This window comes from Homo sapiens, chromosome 5, assembly GCF_000001405.40.
Source record: "Homo sapiens chromosome 5, GRCh38.p14 Primary Assembly".
NCBI classification, from domain to species: domain Eukaryota; kingdom Metazoa; phylum Chordata; class Mammalia; order Primates; family Hominidae; genus Homo; species Homo sapiens.
In genome coordinates, this window is record NC_000005.10 from 45,671,182 (window position 1) to 45,698,600 (window position 27,419).

The following is a 27,419-nucleotide window of genomic DNA, read 5'->3' on the forward strand; positions in this document are numbered from 1 at the left end:
TTCTGTCCTGTGTGTGAAAGGCCTGTTCTCTCCAAACTCCATTACCCAAATCCCACCTGTCATTAAGGTCCAGCTCAAATGTCATATCCCTTCACTAGTTCTCCAGAACTTTCCAGCTTGAAGTAATTACTCTGTCCTATTAACCCTAATGTTTATTACCAGCAAATCATGTTCAGTATGCATTAGATTATCTGCTATTATATATTATTAAAGTACTATATATAGTACTATATATATATAGCTATAGATAATCGCTTCACCCCATCCCCACACTCCCACTAGACTGTAAGATCCTTAAGAGTAAGATTCATGCCTTACTCTTGTTTGAATCTATTTCAGCACCTAATACATGGTTACATATAGTTGCAATTCAATACTTACATTCTGAGTAAATTTTGATAAGTGAGGACTTATCACTTTGATGACTAGCAGTCCTTTGATGATTACTTGTCAGATAAAAAAATATGAAGGTAGAATTTAGAAAAAAGATCAATTTCAATAGTTGTATAACTATTTATAGTTCACTAGTAAAATGCTATGTAAAGTGTTCCAATATAAACAATAGTTAAATATTAAGACTGTATATTTTATAAGTCTGACATGGTTCTGTTCTAAGTTACCACTAATTTAAATTGAGTTAGGACTGTCAAAAATCTGTTATTGTTATATTTAAGGACTTTATCTTTACAAAGTCACTAAATGTAAGTTTGCAGATAATAGGGTTTCTTCTCAATTGGTTTAAAGTTTATAATTCACATAAGATATTTACGCCAAGAAAAGTATTAAATCCTTTAGTTAAAATCTGCATTTTGAAATTCTTTCTTTCCTGAATTTCAACAATGTCATGGGGAAACAGGGGTGGCAGAGAGGAAAGAAAGAGAGAGAGGATGTTGTGGAATATAAATTATTCAACACTGCACCTACATGTATAAATTGATTTGACTATTGCAATGCACTTGACCAGTCAAAAAACACCATGGGAACAATGGACTACTAGGCTTGTGCCTAAAGCAAAATGTGAACATGTTACTAAATCAAATATCTACTGTGCATAAACAAAGGCTGTCTTAATTATTAGCATATTTATGCAGAAAATACTAGAAATTATATTATTCTCGTACAGAATTTTGTTTTTTAAAGTTATTGTTAATAATAATAAGCTTCAAAAGCTAGAAATGATAGTAAAAGCTTCTTTAGGACTCAGTGAGCTTGAACAGACAGAAGGATGTTTTCAGATGCCACTTGTCTACGTTAAGTACTTGCTAGTATTTATAGTTGTATTACAAATGTTTATTCTCAGGCTATCAGTACATATATTATCAACCCAGTTTGCAATAAAGGAACTGAATTCTATCAAAAAATTAAAAAGTCCTTAGCGAATTAAGTAAAAAAAAAAAAAAACTAAAGTAGATTTTGCCTGAAAAGACTTGCTTGTTGTCTGTGTTTGAAACAGACGGTTGCCATATTTAATAATTCAGAAATGCAAATGATGTCATAAAAAATAAGAAAAAAATGTTATGCAAAAGATCCAATTTTTTTTAATTGGAGAGGCTTGTAGCTTTACCTATGTTCTCTGAGTCCTTGTTAATTAATTCTGCCCTGAGTCTTTCGCTGCTAAAAGGTTGTTTTATCTTTTTTTTTAAATAAACCTTTGCTTTAGAATAGTCTCACGTTTACAGAAAATAATAGAGTTCCCATATATCTCACACCTAATTTCTCTATTTTTAAATATTACATCAGTTATAAATAATGAACAAATGTTTATACATTATTATTAACTGAAGTCCATACTTTATTCACATGTTTGTACTTTTGATCTAATGTCCATTCTCTGTTCCAGCATGCTGTCCAGGGTACCACATTACAATTTAGTTAGCATGTCTCCTTAGTTCTGCTTCATATGACAGTTTTCTCAGATTATTTTTCTTCTTGATCACTTTCACAGTTTGGGGGGTACTCGTCATATACTTTGTAAAATGACCTTAAAAATTAGGATTTATCTGGTGTTTTTCTCATGATTAGACTGAGGTTATGGGTATTGCAGAGGAATAGCACAGAGGCAAAGACTACATCATGTCAAGTGTATATACTATCAACATGACTTATGACTGTTAATTTTGATCACTTAACTGTAATGTTAGTCCAGTTTCTCAAATCATTATTTGAAAGAAATTACTATTGACAGCCTACAGGTAAGGAATGCACATTAATGGCCCACTTCCCTGAGGGTATAATAGCTACACAAATTATTTGAGTCCCCCCACACCATTTATTTATTGATTCAATACTTTTTATATCAGTATGATCTCATGGATACTTACATTATACTTTGGGTTTATAACTCAATCCTAGTTTATTATTCAGTTGTTCAATTTGTTCCATCTTTGGCCACTAGAAGCTCTTTAGATTATCTTTTCAAATTCCACCCAAGCATCCCTACTCATTAGTGGCTTTTTTGAGTAATACAATTCTTTGCTTATATCAGTATCACAAGTAGGGGTTAGAGGTGATAAAGAAATGTATTTGTCTTCAAATAAAGTTTTCTATAGCTACAATTAACTGATAAGACATTTTAAAATAGACCCCTTAATCAAAGGTCACAAAATTGACCATATGCTCTCTACCAAAAGAAAGGCACAGCAGAATCATTCTAGTACTAACTTATTTCATGAATCATGATTTCAAGTATGAAATTCTAATACTAATTTATTTCATGAAACGTGATTTCAAGTATGAAATTATGTGCCCCTAAATAATTTCCCATTGTTAATTACGTATGTTAAGTGAAATCTCTTGTGTAATGTTTAAGGCAAAATAAATTTTTCTCTTTGACAAAAGACCATACCAAGGCATTAAGTGAAAACCTTTTAGTTATTATACTCAGCTTTCCATGGGATAGTTATGTTTTAAAAGTTAATATTAAAATGCTAGTTTTCATTGGCTTTTAGTTGATATATATGTATATATATAGATATATAGATATATCACATATATGCCTTAAGTTGCTTTCTATGAATTATATAAATTAGCTCTTTGGGATAAATAACTATAATCCTAAACTTTCTCTAGTTAAAACTTAATAATTTAAAACAATTTTATGAGGAGAACTTAGAAGTCTATATTTTAAGTGCCACAGAACTCTCTGAGAAGGCAGCTATCAAAATCACTAAATAAAAGGATAATGAATAAAAAGAGGAAAACATTCATTCTAGGAATCTTCTGTGATTGATCTTATACAGATCTTCTATCTACATATACACAGTATTTGTTTATAATTTTATGTTAAGCTTATGTTATGAACTCTAACAAAGTTTTGCAAGAATGAAAGAGAATATTTATTTTGTTAATTACACAAGTATTAATATAATGCCATTTATTAGATACAACTTAAGAAAATTTGTGTCCTCTTCTACAACTTACACTTAATTTAATATCAACTGTATTTTTAGTCATTATAGATAAATTGAAAGCCAATGTTATCAGTTGACAAGATTTTTCAATGTCACACATGCTGAATGTTTTATTAATACATTTTAGAGTACAATAAACAATATTTGTGGAATTTAAAATAAGAAAGTATAGAATAAATGCATTTTCAATAAGATATGCATGGGCTGGGTGTAGTGGCTCACTCGTGTAATCCTAACACTTTGGAAGGCTAAGGTAGGAGGATTGCTGGAAGGAAACCAGGAGTTCTAGGCCAGCCTGGCCAACATAACAAGACAATATCTCTATAAAAAATTTTAACTATTTAAAATAAAAATAATAAGATATGCATGCATATATAAGTACTTACTATATGTTGTATGTAGGTGGCACATAACTTCAGGATTCCCAACTATTGCTACTTAGAAAATATATATAAGTGGCAATATGGTTTCCCAGAAAATATGACTTGATGACCCTGATGGAACCAGTGTTCTCACTACTACTCTGAATTTTATCACATATATCCTGCAAGAAGCATACTGTCACATACCTACAGATAATGTGTAGAACCCATCTTATATCGAGTCTGATAGTAGCTTGGCCCCCAATTCAGATGTGGCATGAGATCAACTTTTGTCCCTTAAGATATCCTAGGCCAGCCAAGTCCTTTCTCTCATTCTGTCTGCTAGTCACATTTTATCTATTACCCATACAAACCTTTGTTGGCTGTTCCTTCCCTAAACACACTGGATCTCATAATGGGAATTATCCAGAACACTCATTCTCTAGCCCCACTGAGTCACTAGTGATCCTTGATTCAAACACATCCAAAAGCCAAAACCCAAATGTGGTTTGAGCCTATCATCTAAATTCTCTCTATACACACAGGCATGCTGAACTAGTAGAGAAAAAAATCACACAATTATGCCAAAGATAGCAAGACAAATTTATGTTCTTCAACATCTGCCCCATTTTTTCAAACTGGACAGTACCTTTTGACCATTCCCTGGACCATTCCAAAGTATTAAATCACCTTTAGCTTCACAAAGAGCCAAGTAAAGCTAATATGATTTCAAGGCCATCTCTATAGCTCCCATCACCCACTTGCATCCAAGCAGTTTGTTCATTTCCTTCCATTGTGAACAATTATGTTATACCATTAGACATAAAAACTTAAAGTATAAAAGTTCAATAAAGTCATTTCAGTGTGAATATACTTCAATCTAAATAGCATGAATAAATGGTTGATGTCAGGTCCTTTTCTGTTTTAATATAAGATAAGCTCAAGAGTGAAAAGAGAAATGCTGTAAGAAAAGGTTGGTGAGCAAACCAAGGATTATCACACTTCACAACTTTTCCAAGACTCAGTCCTGTTGGTCATTGATTAGATCAAGACAAATATGGAACTGTCCATTGCAGTTGTGTGCATGCATCCCTGCTTCACATGATTTATAAAGGATGTGAGTGCATGTATGTGTATGTATATTTTTATATGGTTGAACTTCATATAAACAAGCTTTATTCTCATATTTATTTTTGAGATATCACTTTACTTCAAATTTTCACATATACTTTGTCACTTAAGCTTTTCCAGTATGACCTGCTTTTTCATCATGAATATTGCCTATGACATCTTCAGGAAATCAACCATATTGTAATATGTGTCTTATAAGTACATAAAGAATATAGACATAACTTGCACTAGACAAATACACACATATATGCATAAGCAAATCTATATACACCTTATATTTTTATTGGTCAATCAGATACATTAGAGATCATATTAAGTAAAGTATATCCATAATTATACTATTAAAATATTTTTTATTTGTATTTCTGTACAAGAAAATCAGGAGAAAAATTTTTAACATGTTCAGAGCAAGATATGTTTGGAGCATGTCTTGGAACAAGACACTTAGGCCATTCAGATAAATGATAATGGAAGGAAACTAAATCAAAAGGAGGTAGAAGACATAAATGCTCTGGAAGGAATCTGAAATAAAATACAGGAAAGAATAGAAGGTCTAAAATAACCAGAGAATATTTGCAGTCTCAAGATAATGAGATATGAATTATAAATAAGTTCTAAGAGAATGCAAAGTAAAGGAATGGTCATTTACATGTTGAAAGATTTGTGGGAAATCTTAACCTTGAATGGAAATATATTCAAATACAATCATAACAGAGGAAAAATGGGCAAAGGTTGTGATGACACATTATAGAAGAAATGGACATGCAGTATTATCCTTGAGAGGTAGTTAATTATTACCTACCATCTGTCGATCAGCTATCATCTAGCCATCAATCTGTCTATCTACTAGCAATCCATATATCATATAATCCAACTAATACTGGTGGGAAATGATTCAAAATTTTTTTCAGCAGTTGCTTCATTATAACTTTAACTTGCCAAGTATTCAGTTCTGTCTTCACAGATGCCTGAAACATGTGGCTAATTCCTATTTGTCTTTGAATTCTAAGTTCAACTCCCACATCTTCATGGAGGCTTTCCTAACCCCTTGGATTAGATGAAACCCCTAGCTCTACCCTGCCACATATTACCCTGTAGTCTTCCTTTGTTATCAGTGATAACCTCTCATTACTTCTTTTCTGCATGTCTTCCTCACAAGATTGGAAGTTCACAAAAAAATAGAGTGATATCTGACTTCTTCACTGCTCTACTCTGGTTGAGCAGTGGCTGGCACATACTAGGTGATCAAGAACCTGTATTGAAGCAAATTGCCTATCTGTAGAGCCTTGTCTAAAGGTGAAAACTAAATGCAAAAGGGCTGGAGCCTTGGGGGAAATTTGAGAAGCAGTGTGCAGACATGTAGGAAAACAATCCAAAGAGAAAAGAAACAGAGACCTCCAAAAGGGGTATTAAGTGCCACTAAGGGGTTAAATTAAATAAATTCTAGGAAGTGTGTGTTATATTTAAAAAGAAGGAGGTTAAATGACATTTACTGTTTACTTATTTGGCTTGTTTAATTTCATTTTGTTGTTCTGTTTTGTTTATTTCTTCAAGGTAGGAATGAAAGGGTTACAGAAATGGTAATACAGGATTAAAGAGTAATGACAAGCAAGAGAGAGAAAGAGAGCGAGTAAATCTAAGTTCCCCTTTCTTAAAGTCTGGGAAGGTCAAACGTCAACCACAGAAGTAGCAAACATAACTGAGAGCCAAGGGTTTGTTTTAATTTACATTAAAATGTTTTGAGCATGTTTCTTATAGAGAAAGAATTTACATTTAAATTTACTCAAGTTAGGAGGATAAATGAAATGTATTTTTAAATTATCCATTATTACAGCATAGTCTGATCTTGAAGACTGGTGATACCTACCTCATCTTTCCAAAGATTAAACACATACACACACACATACACACACACACACACACACACACATACACACACACACTATAACGTTAAACAGAAAAGTTTTAGTAGCATTTTCCCAAATTCTCCAGTACATCTGTTTCTTTCTAATTCTGTTTGGGGTTCGGCTTCCTCGGATTATTTACATAGCTCTACAGTCCAAATAAGTGATGGCTACTTATGAAATAATTATTTTGGATGCAGTGATTCCCTTAGGTGAAATATCCTGCTATCAGACCACAAGAAACCAGAAGGAACAGTCTCAGAGGTACAACGGTACCATAGTTAATGGAGGAATTTCTTGGGCATCTGCCATCTGAAACCGTATGCATTGTTTCTTGCTTTTCTCAGTTGCCTTTTCTTTAGCAGACTCAAAGTCTAATAACAACTCTCCTAAATTTTACCAAGCAATTGTAATCCATTATTATTATAATAAACTCCAATTTATAAGCTAATACATAACATTTATATAGTGGTAGATTGCAACCTAATGACAAACACTGACCTTTTTGTATAATAACTGCGTCTCTCCTCAATATTTGTGGCTAAAGTTTTAGAGCCTCCTTCTATTTTCATGTGCCTCCCAATGACTTCATCGTGAGTACAGCTCTTCTTTGCTATTTTCATTTAAATAGTCTGTTCATTTTGGTACTTAAGCACCACCATTCAAAAGGATACAGAAACACATAATGAAAGGAAATTAAAAGTATTTCTAGGAAGAATGTTTTCATTGGTTCTTGTAGTTTTCTGGAGTATTAAACTTAAGTACAGTCTAAAGAAGTTTTGTTTCTTTTTTACATGTCTTCCTGAATAAGAACATTTCTATTTTCAAGATTTGCCCTTAACTCTTTACTGTCAAATATTTAACATTTTGCAAAAACAAATGAGCATCTGAAGTAGTTAGGTTTTAACACATAGGATCTAATCCAACATGATGAACTACAAATGAAGCTCCCAGAAAATTGTAGCCAATCTTTGACTAAAAAGGCACCATTTCCCACTGGAGAATATCACCTAAATAACTAGAATTCATATACCCAGAACAAAAAATATGTATAATTCCTAAAAGTGTATAAATTTAAAAGTCTGAGAAAATGACTAAGTCATTGGATCAGCATATGACTGAATACCTCTGGGACAAAGCATAGTGGTTAAGATATTGGGCTCTGAGCCAGGTCTCTGTGTTCAAATGTTAGTTTCTCCATTTATAAGCTATCATTATAACTGCCTAACTTTTCCATAGTTCAGTTTTCTAAGCTGAAATAGGAAACAAACAGTACCTGTCATAGGGTTGCTCTAAGGACTCAGTGAGGTAACAGAAATAAAGACACCTGGACTAGCACCTGGCACCTAGTTAGAACTTAGCAGCTAATACTGCATTTGGAACACTTTTTGTAGAATATCTCACTGACTGTGTTGCCTTTCCCGTGTGACCAGTTAAAACAACATTTCAGCAGGAAATCGTCCCCCAGCTAAATAAATGTAAAAATAACTATGATGGAGAATGCTTAAAATCTCTACTTATTTTGGGTATTTAAAACAACATAGAAGCATGCATTTCAATAAAAATGACAGTATTTCTAGTCACACAGCGTATTTTGTGAACATTCTAACTCAGGTGAAGTCATGGAACCATCTCAAGTCTAGTTATTGATTATGAAAGAATTTAAATATGTGAGTGTTGGACTGGCTTTAATTGATAAAAAATTGTACTTTCAATACAAAAAGTAGATATTTAAAAAATCACATTTAATAAAATTGTTTCTTGGGAGAAATGCTATTTTCAAATGTCACTAGCTTCTAAATATTGCCTTACATGGCTGTATTTCGTAAATGTCTATAGCAATGGGCCTGTTGTTGCTGTGACACTGATTTAAGAACACATTTTGGTCATTACTATCTCTTGCTGTTTGCCTGCAGTGAGCTCTCATAATTAGGGCTGAATACACTGCACTATTAAAATTAAACCAAGCCTCTGGGAAAGAATCATGGAACTAGATGGTTAAAGGACACCCAGGCAATTAACAAGCATGATAAAGTTAAAAATTGAAAATAGGAAAGTAGGTTAAGAGCTTTTCTCTCTCTTTCCAACATGATTTGTTGATACAGAAGGAATATATATCAGTTTTATTTTACATAGGAAAGAAATGTAAAAGCAGTGCCACATTGCAGTCAACTAAATTATTTTGCTGTTTTCCAGTGGATTTTTCTCTTTGTACACTTAGAAGACGTGCAATTCTAAAATAATTCTACATTTGACTGACTTTCAAAACAAGCCTGAAAATGCTTTACGCTTTCTGGAATCACAACAGTGTAACAATGAACAAGTAAAGAATTGCTATTTTATAAAATTTATACTAAAAAAGTATTGATTATTTATGATTTGAATTTATTAGGCTTCCTCAATTCCATTACATAATACCTCCTTTCTATTTGAACTACATGAACCAAATAATAAAAAGATTTGCATCCCAAAATGTTGGTAGCCATGAAAGTTTTCACTCTTCAGAAAAGAGGGAAAATCCATTCAAATCCAATAAAAAGAGTTAAGATTCTGATCCTTCTGAGACTATGTCTGGGATATTTTCCCTGCATAAAGTTGCATTAAGTTTTTTTGCCTCAGTATTATTAGAGTTTTGTTGGAAATACAAATAAGATCTGTGAGTAAAACAGAAAGATAAATAATAATATTGTACTGTCCTTTAATTATAGCCTTGATCTTTCCTTTTCAAAATTAAGACCTCTTCCTTTTTCCCCTTCCTTTTTATTGTGAGGCTCATTAATTAAATAGGGTTGGTAAAATTATGCTTTTCTAATTATATTATCTCTTCATGTATTAGGTGAAGGTAGGTAATCATTTTTTACATCATTATGAACTCAAATTTAAACATCTGATGGGTTTGAAATCATAGAAATTCTTACCCTTTTTGAAGCTTATCTTTGGCTTCTTCAAGTGGGATCCTGATTCTTTTTGCTATTACCCTGGTAGTCTTTGATAACCTCCTTAATATCTGGTATGTCAAGTTTTTCCAGGCTCTTCAGATACATTGCCTGCCCAAGAACTGGGATCACACATTTCTCCTCTTCAAATTAAGGCAGACCAATTGTGCAAATTCCATCCCAGTTTCAGCTGCTGTTCCATCCCATTCCTGTTGGCTGCGTGGGAGTCTCCCATATTCTCAGCTTTGTCAGACACCCTTGCTTACCACTGCTTCCTTCCTCCAACACATAGCGCAAAATCAGGTCTTGCAGTTGTTGAAGGTTTGTGTCACTTATTTTTCAGGTTGCTGGGGATAGTTTTCCTGTAAAGTTGCCCATGATTTTTTGTTTGTTTGTTTGTTTGGATTTTGATCTTGCTCTGTCTTTTATATGCAAAAACTAAGCTGACATCTTAGTTTTGCATCTTTTCAGACTCAAGTTCTTTTTGCTTTTGAAAATCATGTCAACTTCAATTTCCTTTACTAAGATCTATGATATATTTTCTATTTACACAAGGGCTAATTTAACACTGCTCACTCAGGACGTTTTTCACTGGAATATTATTTCTTCACTGTAAATTTGGTAAACACGATAAAAAAAAAATCCTGGTCACCAAAAAGTTAAAATTTAAAAAAATCCTTTTTCAAAATATTGACTCAATATTTTATTAATTAAGCCAAGAGGAACATAATGTTACCTTTCCATCCCTGTACAATAAGGTTTTAAAGGTGCACTGTTAAATCAAATAGCACAATTTGGCAAAGTGGAACAGAAAATAAATGATACATACCTAAAAGTAATGTAATTATTTCTAAATGTCATTGCCCAAAGGGATACATTCTCAACTTTATTTTGATTAAGACAGCACTGATTCTAAAGGCAATGACATTTAAATAGTTTTTATAGGGCTGTGAAAGAAGGGCCATGCCAAATACAATAGATAGAATGTTTATGTCTCCCTAAAATTCATGTGTTGAAGTCCTAACCCACATGATAGTGGTGTTGGGAGGAGGGGCCTTTGGGAGGTGATTAGGTCATGAGGATAGAGCCTTCATGAATGGGTTTGGTGCCCTCCTAAAAGAGATCCCTCACCCCTTCTACCCTGCTAGGTTATAGTGAAAAGACAGCCATTTGTGACAAGCAGACTCACACCAGATAGCAAATCAACCAGCACCTTGATCTTGCACTTTCCAGCCTACAGAACCATCAGAAATAAATTTCTGTTGTTTATAATCCACACAGTCTATGGTATTTTCTTATAGCAGCTCAAAAGAACTAAGACAACAAGATATCATATATATATATATACATATATATATATATATACACATATATATATCCCAATTTTAAAAACTACATAAAACCAAGCATTATAGTAAATAGAGCTCATAGAAATATGCATTTATTTAATTGTAATGGCTTCAACTCTTATTTCCAAATGTATGTTTCTGTGAAGGAATAAAATGCAGATTAAATGTCCACACTAAATTATTGTTTTTTATAGGGCACATAGGGAAAAAGGTTGTTGGAAATTATATATAAAAACCAAAGTTAAGCATAATATTGCTAAAAGTCTCTTTATTTTTTCAAATTTATTAAGTGCCTACTTTATACTCTGCTTACTTCTAGCTTTGGGAGCCTGGGAGTGCAGTAATTCAAACAGTAAAAAAACAAACAAACAAAAAAAAGCACCTCATCTTAGTGGGCCTTAAATTCCAGATGGAGGGGGTGATAAACAATACTCGAAGTAAAGAAACGAAACATTAAGTATGATAAATTGTGTAAATTGTGACATGTTCTATGAAAAAAAAGGCAGAGATATGAGAAATAGATGATAACCTGGAGTTTAAAATATGTTGAAATTTTAATGAGATTATATTTGTTTATAATTTTGTGCTATTATGAAAAATACCACAGGAATCATCTTTGTTCTCATGTCTTTGCAATCTTGTCATATTTTTTCTTTACAATAACTTACTACCCTATACATTTTCAATATTTGTAAAATATAAAGTATCAAGCTGACCTTTAGAAAGGTTAGAATAATTTACAGTCTTTAGTGTCATATGGTGGCAAGCTCCCCCTCCATAGCTTTATTATTAAATAATTCACTAATATTTTTCTAGGATTTCTGATTTCAGTTATTTTTACCATTTATAAATTAATTTTTTTATTTTTTTTTACCATTTATAAATTTAAACCTAACTTTGGATTTAACTTTGCTGAAAAATAATAAAAATGGATTTTACTCAATTATTTCAGTAAATCATTTTTCTAATTCCAAATTAGGGTATATAGCTTATGTTTTTAGTTTTTTTAGTCAGTGATTTTCTTTTCTTTTATAGATTCCAATCATTGTTGATATATAGGAAAGTTACTGATATATCTTAATGTATTTATCTTAGAAGCAGCCATCTTACTGAACTTAGCAGTTAACTCCATAATTTATCTGTTGGTTCAATCAACTCTTTAATGTTCACAAAAAATAATTTAGGTTCCTTTCACCCAAGTATATTTCTAGTTAGAATTGTGTGCCTTATTGTATTGCCTGACCTATCCAGAACAAGTCTCTCTTCAATTCCTGCTCACCAGGTAGCTAGCCTCAAAACTAAACCAGTTGTTTATAGAGAATTCTCTCCCTCTCAAGGAAACTCCTTCTAGCCAGTTAAATATATATATATATACACACACACACACATATGTTTTGTCTTTTTTTTTTTTGATACAGGGTTTCACTTTGTCATTTAGCCTGGATGGAGTGCAGTGGTGTCATCTTGGCTCACTGAAGCCTCAACCTGCTGGGATCAAGTGATCTTCCCACCCCAGCCTCCCAAGTTGCTGGGACTACAGGCATGCATCTCCATGCCTGCCTAATTTTTGTATATTTTGTAGAGACGGGGTCTCGCCATGTTGCCCAGGCTGGTCTGAAACTCCTGAGCTCAAGAGAGCTGCCCGCCTCAGCCTCCCAAAGTGCTAGGATTACAGGCATGAGCCACCGTGCCTGGTCCCGCTTCAGCTATAATTCTTAAGTAGCTTGCCCAAGCAAAAGTCTCTATCTTTGAATCGTCCATACACTGTTTTTAGTGTCTCTATTTCTTCATGACAATATTAGATAGTTCAGGAAGTCTTAATTTGGGTTCCAAAAATAAATGTGCTTCAAGGAAACTACAAATCTTTGAAATTACAGGCAAAATATTGTAAATAAATGCATGGGTCAGAGGGTCAATAGCTTTAATGTGATTTGTGAAGTATTTTATGAGTCTTCAAGCCTAGAATCACTAACACAAATGGCTAATCATGAATGATTAGTATAATCAGTAATTATAGCCAATAGAATTATGGGATTATTTATATTGTGCAATACTTATTCAACCATAACTTGGTGCTTCTAGCATGTATTTCTGCTTTTTATACATTAGATATATATCCAGATCACAGAAAATACAGGTGTCCAAACTTTTCATTCTAATTCACTTACATGGATATTCAGGGTAAATATCAAATTTATTGTTTAGAAAAAGAGACAACTTTTAAAAAATACTATTTAAACAAAGAATGACTATTCTATAGGAAAAATAAGGAACAGTTGTTCTCCCTTTAAAAACTAATCAAATAGGCCAGGCACGGTGGCTCACGCCTGTAAACCCAGCACTTTGGTAGGCCAAGGTGGGTGGATTGCTTGAGGTCAGGAGCTCAAGACCAGCCTGACCAACATGGTAAAACCCCATCTCTACTGAAAATACAAAAACTAGCTAGGTGTGGTTGGTGCATGCCTGTAATTCCAGTTACTCTGGAAGCTGAGGAAAGAGAATTGCTTGAACCCAGGAGGCGGAGGTTGCAGTGAGCCGTGATCATGCCACTGCACTCCACCCTGTGTAACAAAGCAAGACTCTGTCTCAAAAAACAAATAAACAAAAAACTAATCAAGTAACTTTCTATATTCATTTTTTCAGTCTCTGCTCATGTTCCTCAAACAACCTAGGTAGTGTAAATTTTAATAAGGTGCATTGTCTTTTTAATAAAATAAGGCTAAAACATTCTGCAAGGGTATAAGTGACAACTGCTCTAGAAATGATATCACAAAGATTTCTTTTAATTCTGTCAAATTTATAGATTTCTCAAATTCTTTTACGTTCCTAACTAGAAATAATTATATTTCTAAATAACAATTTTTAGACTGTTAAACATGACAATAAAAAAGAAAAGGAAAGATTTATCAGGTTATAACTCATCTTATTTGCCTCATATGTAATACTTAACTGATTTGAAATAACATCCCAAATGGTTTAACTATGCCATTTTCTGATGAAAAGAAAGATGAACAGAAAGTAGCACATGCAACCCAATGAATGCCATTATAATTTTCCCTAAAAGCTATTTCCAAATGTTCAATACGGTAGCATTCTATACCAACTAAAGAGATTAAACTGGAAAATTTTGCAGAAACAGGATATATTAAAAGTTTTCCGTCCGGAAGCAGTGTCTCATGCCTGTAACGTCAGCACTTTAGGAGGCCGAGCCGGGCGGATCACCCAAGGTCAGGAATTTGAGATCAGCCTGACCAACATGGAGAAACCCATCTCTAACAAAAATACAAAATTAGCTGGGCGTGGTGGCACATGCCTGTAATCCCAGCTACTTGGGAGGCTGAGGCAGGAGAATCGCTTAAACACAGGAGGCAGAGGTTGCGGTGAGCCAACATCGTGCCATTGCACTCCAGCCTGGGCAAAAAGAACGAAACTCCATCTCAAAAAAAAAAAAAAGTTTTCCAGTGCTAACTGCCTCATGACTAGACCAATTTCACACAGCATATATAAAATATGGCATTGCACATCAGGGCTTCTGCTGCCAGGGATTGCATGAAGGTAAAAAGGAAATAGCAGCACACCATTTACATGGCCATTCCTTCATATATTTTTTTCTTCAGAAATTATGGAAACGGTTAGAGTATGTACTTAGAGAATATTTAATTTTTCAAACAACTAACATGCCTTAATTCTGTTTTAATTTTACACTCATACAAATAACTAACTCTTAAATAGCATTAAATGCAGAGCATAACTTCTAAGCACTACATATATAGAAATGTTTATATAGCATATACAGTATATATACACACTATATATACTATATACCCCATGAATTTTACATATATATATATTTTTTTCTATTATAATTGAGAAAATTAAGGTCCAGTTACTAAGGTGGTGAAGCTCAGATTCTGACCCAAACAGTTCCTAATATTGTTACCTCAAAATAATATATGCCCAGTCTTTTTTTTTTTTAAGCAAAACAGCATCAAGGATTATAAGGAGAACATATAAGCCTCTCCCTTTTCCTTTTACCCTACATATCACTTTCCAAATTCAACCACCATAATTGTTTCTTTTAGTGTTTAGTTCATATTTCAAAGACAAATTAATTTATCAATTTTAAATACTATTCATTAGCTGCCAACTGTGGAACACAAGGACTTAGCTTTCTGACATCACCCAAACCACATTTACGTTTCTCCTGCCCTCCCACCAACCTAGAATAATTGCACCACAATCTTTATTTAAAACAGTCAACTTGTTTACATTATTATGACCAAATAACCATTAGGTACTGTTGAACCAAGCAAGGAACTGTGATTCTTTTCCCTTTTTTAGACACCTTTAGATCATTCTGGAGTTAATAAAGTTCTTTTGTTTATTTACTTGTCTCCAATGTACTCTACAAAATATGAAAGTCATCAATATATTGTTCCAAATGATCTCTGGAACACCTAGTAACATTATTTATCAAATGCTGATATCCATCTATTTGTTTTTCCTACCCTGAAGGCCTTCCTCCAGAACGCTTTGCTTTACCGCCCCAGTCTGGACTGGTTTCTTTCAAGGCTAGCTATTTTGGAGTACTCCTGGGACTTCAGGTTTCTCTGTGTTAGAGCCCATTTCCTAGCTTCTATGTCTTCATGTTGTTTGGTGTAATTTCTTGTTTTGCAGGAACATGTCATCTAATAACTTTCTAAGAAAGGGTACATGGGTAGTTAATACTAGAGTTCTTAATTTCTGAATATCTTTATTTAAATTTTGTATTATGGCAAGGTATGGATTTCTTATGGAGATTACTTTCTCTCAGAATTTTGCAGACTTTGTTACATCGTCATTTACCTTAAAGTATTATTCCCACTTCTTGATATGTAACTTTTTCTTTGAAAAGTCTTAGTCATTTGTTTGTTTGTTGCTTATTCAATGGTGTTGTAAAGCTTCTGTGTAATGATCCTTGGACAGTCTTTTTCTTTCATGATGCTAAGTATTCCATAAGTTCCTCAGAACAGACATTTCAGTTGCTGCTATCTGGAAAATTTTATCAAAAATGTCTCTATTAATTCCATATGTCCATTTTCACTTTTTTATCATTCTAGAATACCTTATGGTAGATTTTGACCTTATAAATTAGTTATTGGTTTTGCTATATTTTCTTATATTTCCTATTCCCTTTTGTCTTTTTGTTCTAATTCTAACGGGCTTCCTAGACTTTATCTGCTAACACATTTCATCCAAGAGCTGTTTTTTAAATTTCTTACTATTTTTTTCATAGCAACGTGTTCTTATTGTGCAGATAAAATATTTATGAAGATATCATTTGTGGAGTATTTTTTATAATACTGTCATTTCTCCTTATGCCATCCCTCTGGACCTTCTTTGGCTGTTTGATTTAGTCTTTCTCTGCTTGATTTAGTCTTCCCTCATGAGACTTTTCTCAAATGTCTGGTTATCTTTTGCTTTCAGTTCCATATTAACCAATGCCATACCAAAAATATAATCACAGCCTCAATGTACACATGCGGGAATTTTTGCAGAGTGATTAGGCAATAAACATGATTTTTTATCTGAAGACTTTGAAATGTCTCCCTTTGGAGGTATTTTCTCCAGTTTCCCGACTGAGAAAAATTGGCCTGGCTCCAAGCATCCTAATGTGAGCACAGGGAGTTCTGTATTCACTAAGGAAACCCTTATTTAATTCTGTTTTCAGTCTGGCTTTCCTGGAACTATTTCATAACTGGCATTTCCAAGTCCTGAATTCTTCTGGATTTCAATGGGTGAAGGATTGTGGAAGTGGAATAATTTGTCCATTAACTTCCTATTTTACAAATGTTCTTGAGATCTATATTCTCTGATGTCTCCTCTTTCTTCTACTTACCAATGTGTCTGTGCTTTTTCATATTATTTTGGAGTGACTTCAAGAGGGAGGAAGTATAAATGATTAGGTTCAATCCATCACGTTTCCCAGAAGGTTTGGAGAATTATTTATACTGGCAGCCTTGTTTCTTATTATGTAAAAGAGTTGAAGTGACAAAATTAATATTCACAAGAACTGAATTCCTGGCCCAGTTCTTACTATCTATCTATGTCACCATGTTCACGCTACATAACTTCTCTGCAGTTTCATTTATTCATCTGTGTATTGGGCAGGGAAATGTAATAGTTGGGGCACATACTTGCAGGTGCCAGTGGGAAGGAGATGCCAGGTATTACTGTAGGAAAAAATAAGAGCTTTCATTGCTTTCATCTGAATTTATTAACTCTAAGATTAAATGTTCTCATGACCTGCTTGGAGAATAATTCTTTGTCCATTCAGTCAATAAATATTTATTACAGGTCTGTTATGATGACCTAGAAATTTCACTCCAAAGAGAAATGAAAACATCTCTGTGCAAAAACTTGTACGAGAATATTCATATCAGCAGTATTTACAATAACCAAAAAGCAGAAACAACTCAGATGTCCATCAACTGATAAATGAATAAATTAAAGGTAGTATATCCATAAAATGGAATGTTATTCAGCAAGGAAATGAATAAAGTACTGACACAGGTAACAGCATGAATGAACCTTGAAAAAACATTATGCTAAGTGAAAGAAGCCAATAAAAAATACTATATATTGCATGACTTCACTGATATAAAATATTCAGAATAAGCAAAAATCTACAGAGACAGAGAGAGGATTAGTGGTTGCTTAAGGCTGAGCGGGAGGGCGGGAGAGGAGAGAAAGTGAGTGCTAATGCATATGGGGTTTCTCCTTAGGATGACAAAATATTCTAAAATTGATTGTGGTGATGGCTGCATAACTGTGAACTTACTAGAAAATATTGAATTGCTTACTTTAAATGGGTGAATTGTATGGTATATGAATTTTGTCTCAAAAAAGCTGTTAAAAATAAACCATATCTGTATGTAATAATTAGGTGATGGGATGATCTGTGCAGCAAACTACCATGGCACATGTTTACCTATTTAACAAACCTGCACATCCCACACATTTACCCCTGAAGTTAAAATAAAAGTTGAAGAAAAAAAAATGAAGCCTCTAAGAAAGTTTGGCAAGAAAAGTCTATTATGTGCATTTTTACAACATTGGGAATGTAAAACTGAGTAAGATTCATAAGGTAGCATGGTTTAAATTCCAGGGAAAGGACACATATAAAAATAATTATAAATTCTGCTGAACAGAAAGCCTAGATAGAAAAATAAGTGTGTGCACAATGATTAAATGGAAATCTAAAAGATGAGTAGAAACTAGTTATGTGGAGTGATAAAAAGTGAAAAGAGTATTTCAAGCTTGGGGGTAATGTCACATTAAAATCTTAGTTGCAGGAGAGAACTCAGGTTGTTCTAGGAGCTAAAAATTTACCCAAGTGGCTGGAACACAGAGCTGGAATGAGTGGCATGTAATGAGGCTGCATATATCGGCTGAAATTATGCAGGGTCTTGAAGCTCATAGAAAGTTTGTCCAATGTAGTCTAACAGTAATGGGAAGTTACTAAAGGTTTTAAAGAGCATAACAATATTATTAGATTTGCTTTTTAAAGATCACTCTTGTCACTCTATGTTGAATGAAATGGAGGACAGGTTACATTTTCTGTCCTAAAACAGCCTGTAAATATCATAACAGGAATGTCAACCTTGGAGAACCTACGTTATTCGTGTCATTTTAAGAAATCTGTAAACTGGAGGCAGTATTAATTGGTCAAATCAATATGTATAGAATCTCTAGAATGTTCATAGGCAGTCATTCCATTCCCTGAACTTTAGCCAAAACAATGAAGAGTAAGGTGCGAAGATGTTTGTTGCAGCACTTTTTAAAAAATACTGAATAACTGTATACAACAAAGCTGATAGTCTAAAATTTATAAATATTTACTAACTTTGTATGTATGTAAAATTAGCCTTATGTTTTTAGAGTTACAGCTAGTGACCTGAAAATAAAATTAGGTTTATATAAATAAAATTATAAGTTGTAAATTTAAAGCATGAGTAATGTTGCTTCCTTGCTTTAACTGCGTGGTCAACTATTAGACAAAATAGAAAAATACTATGAGAAAACTAACTAACATAACTTGAAAGAGTCATGAAATCAATCTTATCAAAGTTGGGTGAAATGTGTCAGATAAACACTCAACTCAAAAATAATCAACTTCTATATATATTCTTTACTTCTATATATATTCTTCTACAAAGTCCCTTGAATAGTTTCTGTAGCACATATATACAAATAGAATTAACAGAGCCATGAAGGTTTATTTTGCAAAAACATAAAATTCCAGGATGCACCAGGAATCCTGATTTTTTTTTCCTGTAAAACTAATGGTAAGTTGTACATCCAGATGCCTTCACAAAGAAAATTATTTTTAGAAGAAAAGTACTTAGAGAAAATATAATTTTCATAGTGCATGCAGACTTTTTTCTTTATTATCACTATTTCTACAACTAAAATATATAGTGTCAGCCTAATTCATAGTTTGTTACTCCTTTACACAAAATGATAAAATGAAAATTTGTCACAGACCCTGCAAATGCTCAGTACTCTTCATGTAGTGCTAATGATCTGCAATAATTTGCACTGTACTTACAAGAGACTCTATTTGAAAGTTCTTTTCCGGAGCCCAATTGTTGTTTCTAAATAATGAAGTGAATTATCTGCTAAACACAAGAATTATATTCAGAATGATAAGATTATCACCTGAAAATCATACTAAATGCATTCTGCTGGTTTCCTGCTCACTATAGGACATAGGTGCATTGAGTATAATAATGCAGAATTACAAATACTATTTATCTTGCTTTGTGGTGGTGATGTTGTTTTGGTTTGTGGTTTTTGATCAAGCAGATATAGTTGAATATAATTTTCTTAAATGAACCTATGATACAAATAATAAGTAATATATCTTTCCAGTGCATTTAAATTTCTTTCATTATTCAACAGGCACGTTCATAAACCCAAGTCCACATAATTAAATATGATTAGTAAAGTGTACCTCTTTACTGATTCTCAATTTATAATCATACCCCGAAGGAGGTTTAAAGGGAAAGTTGCTCAGAAAAAAATGAAAACTATCTTATAATATTTTAATAGTATAAATCATAATATCTACTAAATGCAACAGTGAAACATTTGCTAAAATTTAAAGTTGCATAACTTACATGTATACTAAGAAAAAGTAACTAAATAAATTCACACGTTTAAATCTTTGAAGAAATTTCATGTTGTGTCTAACAGTTGCTAGAGCCACTAAGAAAAATGTAATTGAACTTAAAGCACAAAAAGGTTCACCTAACATAGAAAAAAAATAAATTCTTATGGTTAATTTTGGCTATGTTGATATGAAAAGCAAATAAAATAAGCATTGCTGGCAGATACAGAGTGTGTTCAGCACAAAGATAACATAACAGTAGGCTAATTCGTCTTTAAACCCTAGAAGGTTGAATTGTTTTCTTGTGAGAAGCTCCTGGAAGCAAATGTTCTCTCTATTATGAACTGTATAATATGGGTGAAGCCTCCCTTCCCTAATGAACACATCAGTGATCTCTGATATCAGTACAGTTGTGGCTGCAATTCAAAGCAGAGATGGAAGAACGGATGTGACGGTATCTTCAGGAAGTAACTCCCATCTCTAGAGTCCTTGAGTACTTACAACAAAATAAGCTTTTCACACACTCATACTAATGATGAAAAGAAATTGAAAAAAATAAGAAGTCAAGATACAAAACTGCCTCCGTTATGAGGAGCAAGATGTTGGCTGGCAATACATATGGAAAGGAGCATTCTTTTTAAAAGTCCCTTTGTGTAAGCATGATGGAACAAAATAATGACAGAATCCCTAAAATGGCAAATAGTCTGGTGATAAATTCTTCCAAGATAAATTGCTTGCATAATAAAAATCATCCACAAAAGTATTCTAAATATTCTTTCAACCTATTTAAATGATTATATCATAACTATCAATTGGCTATGGAAGCACAATGCTTGCCAAGCATCACTTTTAAACCTTAGTAAAATTCTAGCTAATTAATATAAAATCACCATGAATTTTTAAAAATCATATTTAACCTCCAAATTAAATGTGTCTATGTGTTGTTCACATGAAATTCAATAAGACTAAGACCATACTGTCACTACAGAAAAATCGAGCTACATTTGTTTTTAAGTAACTATCCCTATTTTCCCTAGTTTGGGTGCTTATATACCACAGCATAAACAAAAACATGAGCTTGTTGTGTTTACTAAATTCTGTAGCTTCCACCCAGTTATTTCAAACAGTACCTATACTATTGGACTGCTTTTTACTCTCTGAAGGTTTCTATTGTCATCCTCTGCTGAGGAAAAAGGTAAATACAGCAACTCTGCCCTACTTACGCCAGGGGTAGAGAAAACTACCTGCCAGACACAGCAATAGCACTCTTGGGCTCTGGTGGGGAAAAGAGGCACTAGCTAGCTCTCTGAAAGTCTCAGTGGGAGCACAGCCTTGTCCCTTGAGGTAAGTAAAGTAGAAAGCTATCAGTCTTAAAAATTATCGTGAGCAGGGAAACTAGAAACAGTGTTAAAGTCACGACATGCCCTGGAGTAAGAACATAGTAAACTTCTCTGGCCATGTAAAGGTTTATTAAAAGTGTCAAGGAAAAGAATCCTCTGGATATCTTCATTTGTAATAACTCCCCACTCTTCATAGAAATTACTCTTAAGTGTCATTCACTCAGTTGTTAAATGATTAATGAACTTAAGTTTGACATTTTAGGAATTGTAGTAAAGCACCTCCCTGAAATAATCCTTCAGGAAAGGGCCTAAAGTAAAGGCTAGATCATGACCGCAAAAATTTCTAGTATCTGTTGAAAATTACTCACACATTCCTTTCCCTGTAGAAAAAAACTACCGCTAGAATTTTGTCTTTCCTATTTTTGTTCTTTCATTACATTATCTTGACGTTATAGATTTTAGAAAATCTTATATTGGTTTTGAGATCATACAAAAAAATGAAACAATAAGATGTAAATATATTCTGAATGTAAACAAGTACATGATTATTTTTGCAGTTTGTTTTAGAACACCAGTGTATATTGTAATTATGTTTTAAAATCTATTTTTTCAGATATCTTTCAGTTTAAAAAGATCTAAATAATGATAATTGCTTAATTTGTGCCTGCCATTTTCTTTTTTCCATTTATACAAGGGAAAAGTCAAATATTCCAAACTACTCCACACTGGAATTTAGAGTATTAGCTCAGTTTTTAATCATTTCCCATTTCTTTGAAATGGATAATAAAATTAAATCATCACCTGATTTCAATTTGTTCCTTTGTTCAGTAACAATGTTTTTATTAAAGAGATATTTTGTCTCAGAAGATTTCCTTGGGAAAATAAGGAGAATCCTGTAATTCCATTCATTCAAAAGACTTTCGCATGCTATTCTAATTCCTGAAAAGTGGCCCTATGTTTTTATTTAGCAAGTGGGAAAAAGTTTAATTACTTGATGTGTGGTATCATTTTGATAAGGGATAGTCCTTTTCACATTGCTGAAAAAATAAAAGCATCATATGTAATCATTTTATTGAGTGAAATTAAATGTTAAAAGTTCAGCATTTTTGCATGTTAATATTGAACCTGGTACATTTCTGGAAATACCACATTTATTTTTGCTATTAAGACTGGAGACTTTTTTCATGTAAGTTATTTTCATTTAAAAATTTTAAAATGAGGTGAAATATATTTCCATTGGGGACTGAGGAAAAGATAATATTCTATACTTGATTCCCACCTTTAAAATTCTAAAGAACATGACAACCTTATACATCTTAGAACAGGGTCATTTATAAGTTTGCTTCCCTATCTTCCTACTGGAGGAAACAGGTTTGATTATTTATTACATCTTTTTAATATGAACATTTTCTTTTTTTTAAAATTTTTAATGAACGTTCTTTCAATCAAACTCTTAATGTTCTCTAGACTATAAACGTCATTAGGTTTTATAAGTTCTCCTTTGGACTTTGCTGTGTGTTTTTACAAATAAGTACCTTAAAATTATACACTTTCTAAAATCCATTCACTCTTTGCATAGATCACGGAGGCTACTGATTTCTGAGACGATAAATATCTCAAAGAAGGCAAAGACCGTCACTCTGAGCCTTTGTGTGGCGGGACTGTGGATTTTTCACAGCTAATGTCATTCAGAACTGTGGACAGCTCCCGTTAAGGCATGTAGTTGGTGACAATTTCCCTTAGTTTCTAAACTAACTCCAAGGCTGCTTTACATTGCTATATTTATCCTATAAAGAATACTTAGTATATGCACATACTCCTTTAGTTGATTCTTCTTTTCTTTTCGAACGAGTTCGGCCAAATAAATAAATATCACCCTGAGTTATTAGGAGTTACTAGTTCTGGATTTTAAAATGGGAAGTCCAGCCTTGTTCAGGAGCTAAGATAATCGTGCACACGCTAATAAGAGGATCTACTACACGACCTTCATTTGACAATCTCTAAATATGCTTATCACCGAACGAATACTTGAGCGACAAGTAAGATCAGAAAACGTCTTAATTTTAATTCTCCAAAGCGGAGTTTTCCTGCTGACAGCTTTCCTGTCCTTCTTCCCGAGCTGGAGGACGTGAAAAAGATTTTTGAAATAGACTTGCAGTCAAGGTCAAGAAAGGGTGCCGCTCTATTTCAGAAAGGGGCTCTGTCAACGCCCCCTCTCTCTGTTTCAGGAACTAGAGGCTTCCTGCCACGCTCCTGCCCTGCCTGGAAGCGCCTGGCTTTGGTGAGACCTCACGTCAGGGACTATCCAAGTGCAAATTGCCCTTCTTTTGCCTGCCGGCCGCTGTTTCTGAGTAAACACAGCGAGGATAACCAGCGCCTATAAAGAAAAACAGACTAAACACACTCCCCAGGGGCGAGCGCGGCAGGAACTGCTCGGGCTTGTGAATCGCTGTCTCCGGTTACCCAGTCTTCTTCTGAGCCCCAGAAGCCTCCTTTTCCCTCCTGGTTGAGACCACACTTGAGGGAGCCGCGCGAGGAAGGGTGGCTTCCCGCTTCCTCACGCTCTCGTCTCTGAAGTAAAAGTTTCCCTTGTACAACTTCGCCTCCTCCCAGGAGGGTGACCGTGGCCTCCATCCTTCCCTGATCTGTCCCCGAAGTTCAGGAGGCCAAGGAGGAGAGCCCGTCCGGGATTCCCGGGCAACAGGAGCACATCCTCCGAGCCCCTCCTGGGTGGAAACTACCCGGAGGCGCCGAGTGGAGCCTGCTTAGCCCGAGCCGACGCCGCCGGCAGCGCCACCCCCCGCCCGCCCTCCTAGTCCCCGGGACGCCCCCCACCCAAGGGCGGGGAAGCGCGTTTCAGGGCGCGCCTGAAGGGAGGGTGGGGCGGCGACCGGGAGCCCTCACCTGAAATCACTGTAAGGGTGGATAATCCAGAAGCCTGCAGTTTTAACCCTTTCCTGCTCCTTTTCCACCGCCTTCTGGCTCCCAAACATGCGGAGGGAGAATTTGTTGACCCCGGGCTGCAGCATGGAGGTGAACTGCCTCTGCATGAAGCCGTACTGCCGCCGGGGCCCCTCGGCGTCTTCGAAGCCCCCCGCCGGCTCCTCGCCGCCGCCGCCGCCGCCGCCACCGCCGCCACCGCCGTCCACCTTGAAGCACACGGAGTTGCCGTGCTCCTTCGCGCCGGCCCCGCCGCCCCCCGGCGGGGTGCCCAGGCGCTTCTCGGCCGCGGCCGGCCCCGCGCCCGTCGCGGACGCCTTGGCGGGGAAGACGCTGTTGCCATCGTCCCGGCTGTTAGACGAAGAGTTGGGCTTGCCGCCTCCTTCCATGCCCGGAGGACGCGGCCGGCGACGGCGCGGGCTCCAGACTCGCCGGCCGCCCGGCGCCGGAGACACGTAGCCGAGAGGGTAGGGGCCCGAGCCGGCTGCCGGCGAGCCCAGCTGCCCGTCGCGGCGGCGGCGGCGGCGGCGGCGGCTGCTGCTTCCCGACCGCGCCGCTGCTAGCTGCGCGCCTGGCTCCCGCCGCCGCCGCTGCCCTTAGTGGCTGCGGTCCGGGCTCCGGTGCGGCTGGTGCTGAAGCTGAGGCTGCCGGAGCTAGGCGAGGCTCAGCTCGGCTCAGCCCTCGCGCCCCAGCGCCTCCCCTCGGCTGCCCTCTGTTGGCCAGAAAGGGTCTCTCCCCGTCCGCTCTCCACACATGCTCGTTACTCTTGCTCTACTTCTGCCCAGCGTGACATTGAACTCAAGAGCCCTCGGAGGAGACATTCATTGGTACACGTGGAGAAGGACTCGGTGTATGTTTGCATGAAAGACAGGGGAGAGAGGAGAGAGAGCAAGACTGAACTAGCGAGTGTGTGTTGGTCCAAAAGAAACAAACATCTTAAACTCATGAAGACATTGTCTGAACGCCTGTTTGAATAACGTTACAGATGGAGAAAAGGGGACAAGCTGACTATGCATGCCAACAATTCAAGTGCAAAACCAAATGTCCAAAAGAAAGTAAAGTTTGACAATGGAAAATAAATGTCCAAAGTATCAGGGAAAGTGTGCCTGTGCGTGCGCGTGCGCGTGTGTACTAGAAAGAGAGGCAGAGGGCAAAAGCTACCAGGTCTGTGTAATCCTAGGTAACCAGCTGCTTGGGGCTTTTCAGATTAAGGTTCTGCACCTGGGGACAGACAACTGACCTCCTTACACTTATCCTTGTTAATTCTTGCAGAGTTTTTTAAACAGAGGACGGGATTTCTTTCTTTCCAAGGCCATTCGTATCAATACACGTGCAAGCAGATCTATCAGCCACCAATATTGAAAGAAAAGTGTGTGAGGGAGGCCTCGCCTGAGCTGACCTATCTTTTTAGATAAGTTACATAATCAATAAAACACATTAAGGGATGTGTGTGTCGGTCAGTGTTTAACGACACCACGCTAGGAAGTTAAGACGTCTTGGAATCTCTCGTCAGAATGTCATTACCATTTCAGAAGGGGGGAACACTCTTAAGGGAAACTTACAAGTGTAGTACTGATGCTGAGGAAAGCATTATCCGTTTCCTCTTATTCCCTCTGCGTCTCTGAAACCCACTGGATTAGCTAAAGGAAGCAAAATGTGCTGCCAAACCCACCAGTCACTCAGCAGGGGAGCCCCGGCGTCTGAAGAGCTTCAAGACTCCCGAATGTCCCAAAACATCTGTTTCAGATACAAGCATTGCCTCCCTGCCCATAGCCTCTTCAAAGGAAATCTTGCCCTGCCAAGAGTCCCAGATCCCCTGGGTTCCTGTCAGCTGTAGCCACATTTTATGGAGAAGGGGCAGGCACTCAAGGAGGGAATGTGTATGTCAGGCTGGCAACTAGTGAGCTATCATGAGGAAAAAAAAAATGAGTGGGGCTAATCAAGGTGTTTTTCTGAAAAATTAAACAGTGATGAAGCCAATTAACAATGAAGGAAGCAAGGATAAAGACAAAGGAAGACAATTGGATGCCTTCCTGAGGGGTTAACAGAGGCTGAGAAAGGAAGCAGAGAACAGAGAAAATAGCAGAGGGAAGCAGAAACGAGCCATTAGGCCTAACTCAGTTGCAATTCTGTAAGATTTCCTTACCATTCTCCTTACCATAGCCTGTGCTAAATCTCCTTTTTTCACGGAGCTATGTCCTGACTCAGGCACCATCTGTTTTCAACTAATCATATACCAGAACCCTAAGAATAAATATGGATGGCCAAATTTTAATGGTAAGAGATAGGAAAAATATGAAAATATAGAGCTCTGATCTGTCAAAATAGAGACCTTTCTCTACTTTGGAAAGCCAAGAGGTCAGATAAGGATACCAGGTGCTGAGGGCAGAAGGAAGCCACGGGAATGGATAAAAACAAACATTGCCCAAAGCACAGTTCTGCCTAAGAAAGACCCGATTACTCAGGCAGCTTTTCTTTATTAGACTAAAGATGTTTCCCTACTTTTCTCCCATTCTGCATGCTTCCTCAGTCCCTCTATTTTCAGTCATGAGTGTGACAATGTATATTTTAACATAAATTTTAAATTTTATAATAATGTAAAAATATACCATCTAAAATGTTATGCTGAGTTTAAGTAAGTTTTGCTTTTCTTTTAGCCAATCTCTCTGTTTGTTCTATTGCAACTTAATCTTACTCATGACCAGGCAGTTATTTTAGTAAAAGTTTTTCTGAGTTTCAAGGTTTGTACTAAACTGATATGACAGAATCACTGAAAAACAAGATCTCAAAATAGAACTAAGAAATGTCTTAAAAAGATCACAAGTCATTGGTTGTTCCAAGTATAGCTTCTAGGCCATATTTTATTTATTCAAAATCTCAAAAAATACATTTTCTT

At 35.7% G+C, this 27,419-nt stretch overlaps 1 protein-coding gene across 1 annotated transcript in view, besides 2 other annotated features; it reads right to left on the minus strand.

The window, feature by feature from the left end:
• HCN1 (hyperpolarization activated cyclic nucleotide gated potassium channel 1) overlaps nt 1-25,199 on the minus strand; it is a 441,433-nt gene extending 416,234 nt beyond the window's left edge. The window contains exon 1 of the mRNA NM_021072.4: nt 24,488-25,199. Within this exon, the coding sequence (NP_066550.2) occupies nt 24,488-24,912 (425 nt within the window). The 5' untranslated portion in view covers nt 24,913-25,199. The remainder of the gene's footprint in view (nt 1-24,487) is intronic.
• Nucleotides 23,572-24,073: an enhancer, noted in NCBI's record as "H3K4me1 hESC enhancer chr5:45694855-45695356 (GRCh37/hg19 assembly coordinates)". NCBI's record gives its function as "activates a minimal SCP1, AML or CMV promoter by ChIP-STARR-seq in primed H9 embryonic stem cells {active_cell/tissue: H9 hESC(primed)}" and the evidence as "EXISTENCE:reporter gene assay evidence [ECO:0000049][PMID:30033119]".
• Nucleotides 24,074-24,573: an enhancer, noted in NCBI's record as "H3K4me1 hESC enhancer chr5:45695357-45695856 (GRCh37/hg19 assembly coordinates)". NCBI's record gives its function as "activates a minimal SCP1, AML or CMV promoter by ChIP-STARR-seq in primed H9 embryonic stem cells {active_cell/tissue: H9 hESC(primed)}" and the evidence as "EXISTENCE:reporter gene assay evidence [ECO:0000049][PMID:30033119]".